Source organism: Homo sapiens, chromosome 1, assembly GCF_000001405.40.
Source record: "Homo sapiens chromosome 1, GRCh38.p14 Primary Assembly".
In the NCBI taxonomy this organism is placed as follows: Eukaryota; Metazoa; Chordata; class Mammalia; order Primates; family Hominidae; genus Homo; species Homo sapiens.
The window spans coordinates 108,106,232-108,111,211 of NC_000001.11; the positions used below are offsets into that span (position 1 = coordinate 108,106,232).

Here is a 4,980-nt window from a genome sequence, read left to right on the forward strand (position 1 = left end):
TATTTCAAGACCTTGTGAAAGACCTAAACAAAGGAGAGATCTGTCATATTCTTGGACGGAAAGAGTTAATATTATAATGAAGTTAATAAAATGATCTTTAGATTCACTTACGTACTTTAAGATTTCCAAAATATTGTCCAGAGAAACATACAAAAGGAAAACAGCCATAGGAAGAGAATAGCTAACAGAAATTTCAGGGGAGTTACGTTTGGGTGGGGGCTGGGAAATGAATTAAACTGGGACAGGGGTCCCAGGAGCCTTCTAAAGTTTAGTAATATTCTGTTTCTAAGCTGAGACATAGCTATTCAGGTATTTGTTTTATGATTTTTTATTAAACTGTATGCTTGAGTTTTAGACACCTTTGACTGCATATTTCAAAAATAGTGATTTTTTAAAATAAAAATATTAGTAATTTAATTTGCCCAAACTGCCAAACAGCTACGGTTGTCTACAAAATACCAATAATGTTAGTCCATTACACTTGGAAGTACCAAAAGGGTATGCAGTAGATCTTGTTCTTCATCCCGTTTTCCATTGTCTAGTACAGCACCTGGATGGAGAAATAGCTCCATAAATATTTTGTAATGAGTGTATAAACAAAGCCTCATTAATTCTCTATAATGGCATACATCCAAGCCAAAGCCAATTATTCTCATCCTCAGAACTCTGCTTTTCTTGTTCATTTATCTCTAAGCCGTGCTGGTGCTCCTATTATTTCCTGCCCACTGTCTCCTGGATTTCCTTTCTGCTGAAATGCTTAACTCACTTCCTTATATATATTTAATGAAGTTGTCAGCAAAGCCCTTTTTCATCAGTCAGCCTGGCTTGTTTGACTTAAGGTCTTATTAGCATGCCTAATTCCATTTCCAGAAAACACAGTTAATTAAGCTACCAAATCTGTGAGTATGGCCCAGCATCACTCTTGGCATTTAATTTATATTTATACACCAAGGGAAAATAGTGAACCCAATCCTCTTCCTAGGACTTGAGTAATATGGCAAGAGAACCAGGACTTTCTTGGGAGTCCATGAAAAAGAAATGGAGGTGGTAAACAGAGCACAAAGGAAAATTAGGCTCTGGCATGAGTAGCAAGAGTGCTAGGAGCCCCTTCACCGCAGCCCCCAGCAAAAAAAACTCATGAGCCCATCCTGAGACTCAGGGCCCCCGGCTCAGTCTCCCTGAAAAGCTTCCATAGCACAGATTATTATAGCTCAGGAGGTTACCACATTTTTTAAAAAAATTATTATTTTTTATAACTTTTGTGGGTACATAGTAGGTATATATATTTTTGTGGTATATGATGTGTTCCATCAGAATATATAAGGGATTCAAATAACTCTATAGGAAAAAATCCAATTATCCAATCAAAAAATGGGCAAAAGATTTGAATAGACATTTCTCAAAAGAAGACATACAAGTGGCAAACAGGTTATTACATTTCTAAAAACAGCCTTACAGTGTCATCCAGCCTTCCAGGGGCTTATGCTCCTGAATGATTTTGGGACGAGGTGTCTTCTGGTGACTTTGAGAGTAGCACTAAGTGACTTGGGGATTTCCATGCTGTTCTGAGAGGAATCAAGAGTCTGGAGAAGATGACACAGAACTGACGCACAGCCAGGCTAGGCCACTCCCAGGAAGCCCAGGGACCACAGGACTCCATCTGAGGCGCCTCCTGCAACTCCTCCCTATCTTACCCTCCAGGGTCCAGGGCTACATGTGGAAGTGAATTTCTGCAATAGGCCCAGAATTCCCCAAGGAAGACATACAAATTAAACTCTACATGTGGCTCTGGGTTAATTCGACATATTAATGTAACAAATTCAAAGTAGGAAAATAAGCTAATAAAATTATAGTTTTGGAGTCTCAACTGCTTCCCAAGGCAGTTTTTTTTTTTTTTTTGACAGAATTACAATGTTGAAGCAACTTCTAGTTCTAAGAACATGTCCCTCTCTAAACAGCACCAGCAATTTGTGGCCCTGGTAAGAAGGAAATCAGGTGATCTTACTTTGCCTGGCAATCAGGCTGCTTTCTGGACTTTGGAGATGTGTGGCTAAGAGAATTTCATGCAACTTCTCTCAGCCTTACTTTTTCCATCTGTAAAATGGGGATCATACAGCCCTCCTAGAGTTGTTGAGAGGGTTAATAATATGATATATATAAGATGGGCTTGTAGGAGATCAAAATATGCCTCTCCAAAATATGTCACTTTGGCATAAGAATTATTTTGAGCTAAAGGCAGCTGAGAAGAAACAGACACAAGAAAAGCTCTCTGCCCTCCTCCTATTTGCCACAAAGCAGGACATAAATTTACAAAGGTATCCCTCCTCCCCTCTCTCCCAGAGAGGGCAAATTTAAACTTTTATCAGCCTAGGGATGGCACCAGAGGAATCTATACAACAAATTTTAGTAACCAGCCTTCATCTGCTATTAGTTTACCATATATTTGCCATCCCACAATTTGCTTCCCCTAGAGACTCAAGATCCTTTTCCTTTGTCTATCACTAAAAATGAGTTGTCCTTTTGCTAAGATTTTGTAAAAACTCAAGTTCTAACCAAACCTTTGAGTTACTCATCTCTGGGTACTCCTATGGGTTACATATGTGATATACATGTTAATAAACTGCTGTTTTTCTCTTATCAATCTGTCCTTTGTTACAGGGGCCCAGCTGAGAATTTAGAAAGGTAGAGGGAAAATTATTTTTCTTCTCCTATAGGTTGCAAAGAGTAGGTACCCAATATACTATAGCTATCTGTATACTAATAATAATTTATAACATTAATGTGTCTTTATTATTCCATCCCACTCTCACCAGATTCTGGGTCTTCCTCCCCCTGCACCATACCACCAGCCCTATTTTTCCAGACGTGCTCCATAAAACTAAAGCATCAACTCTGCAATCAGAACATCCTGGGTTCCAATTCCAACTCTGCCAACTAATAGGGGTACAACTTTAAGCAGTCGTGTCCTTCCTCTAAATACCATGGAATAGTAATAGGACCTCCTCAATTCCTCAACTCAAATTCCTGTTATCCCAATGCTGATTATCTTCTCCAGGACTTGGAAAGAGATTACCTTTCAAAACCTGCAATTTACCCTAAACAAATAAATTGCTAACAGCTTTAACCCTAATAATAGGTTGTTAACAAGACAAATCTCTAATTACTGGAGATATTGTAAGAATACTCTTGAACACGGGGTTCTCCCTGGCTCTTTGGTCCCTCTTTCCACACTCTTGTGTTGTAGAGTTGCTCAATAACTGTTCCAGACTTCTGAGAGGAGTCCAACACCCACTCCAAACTCTCAAAGACCGAAAACAGTGTTTCTGTTCATATTCTTAAAAGAATAGGACAGTGTGGGGTTATTCAGCAATTATTTCCTTGATGCAATTTCTTTTTTAATTTTTCTTTGGCAGTTGTTCCCTCATCTCTTAATTTTGACAATTTGACATATCTCATTAAAGATATTTCTGTAACCGAGAATCACTATTAGCCTATCTCCCTTGTGACGAAGGATATTGCTCAGACTCACTTTGCATGCGTACCCTAGGCCTTGTGGGAAATGGGGTGTGGGAAGGCTATATGAGAGCAGGCTAATCTGGCTGAGTAGCAACAATGACTCTTGTAGCACTTTTCCTCCATGGTAAAATTCTTTAACATTTGTAATGAATTAATTGGGGAATCACCCGCTACCAACTCCCCTCCTCCCCCACCACCAGCACCACCACCACACCCACACACACACACACACAAATGCTGGACTATTACCTCCATAATGCTGGATTTGATCACCACAATATATCCAGCACCTAGAGCCAATAAATATTCTTAGTATTCACCAATAAATATTTGTTAAGCAAATTTAAACGTTCCTATAGGAAAAGATTCTATTTCTCTTTCCTTGGAAATGAATCCCATTTTAGGTTGGGATTTTGATAACCAGGGGCCAATAGTTTAGAACATTGAGAAAAAAAGGAATCAGATAGCTTTATTATAATAATAATAAAGGGAGGCCTCCCTGACTGGTCAGGCCGTATTGTACACAGCAAAAAGCAAATCAAAATAAGTCTGTCTTGTGGACAGGTGGCTCTCAAAGAAAGTGTATTAGTTCATTCTCTCATTGCTATAAAGAAATACGTGAAACTTGTGTAATTTATGAAGAAAAGAGATTTAATTGCTCACGGTTTTGCAGTCTATACAGAAAGCATAACTTTCTGTATAGACTGGCATCTGCTTCTGAAGAGACCTCAGGAAGCCTCTAATTATGGCAGAAGGTGAAGATGGAGCAGGAGCAAGGGAGGGGGACGGTGTCACACTCTTTTAGACAACCATATTTCGTGAGAACAGCACCAAGGGGATGGTGCTGAACCATTCATAAGAAATCCACTCCAATGACCCAACCACCTCCCACCAGGCCCCACCTCTAACACTGGGGATTACAGTTCAATATGAGATTTGGGCAGGGATATATACCCATATCAGAGAGTGAAAAGAGGAGAGTGGGCTGGGTGTGGTGGCTCACACCTGTAATCCCAGCACTTTGGGAGGCCGAGGCTGGTGGATTGCCTGAGGTCAGGAGTTCGACACCACCCTGGCTAACATGGTGAAACCCTGTCTCTACTAAAAATACAAAAAAAGTAGCCAGGTGCAGTGGCACACACCTGCAGTCCCAGCACTTTGGGAGGCCGAGGAGGGCAGATCATGAGGTCAGGAGATCCAGACCATCCTGGCCAACATGGTGAAACCCCATCACTACTAAAAATGCAAACATTAGCTTGGCATGGTGGTGCATGCCTGTAATCCCAACTACTCAGGATGCTGAGGCAGGAGAATCACTTGAACCAGGGAGTCGGAGGTTGCAGTGAGCCAAGATCGCGCCACTGAACTCCAGCCTGGGCAAGAGGGTGAGACTCTGTCTCAAAAAAAAAAAAAAAAAAAAAAGAGTAGGGTGATGGCTGAGTCACACAGGCTCAGCTCCTCCCC

General features: G+C 40.7%; 1 annotated feature.

The window, feature by feature from the left end:
• Nucleotides 1,028–2,227: an enhancer, noted in NCBI's record as "BRD4-independent group 4 enhancer chr1:108649881-108651080 (GRCh37/hg19 assembly coordinates)". NCBI's record gives its function as "activates an origin of replication core promoter dependent on BRD2, P300/CBP, MED14 and CDK7 cofactors, and independent of BRD4, by STARR-seq in HCT116 cells {active_cell/tissue: HCT116}" and the evidence as "EXISTENCE:reporter gene assay evidence [ECO:0000049][PMID:35650434]".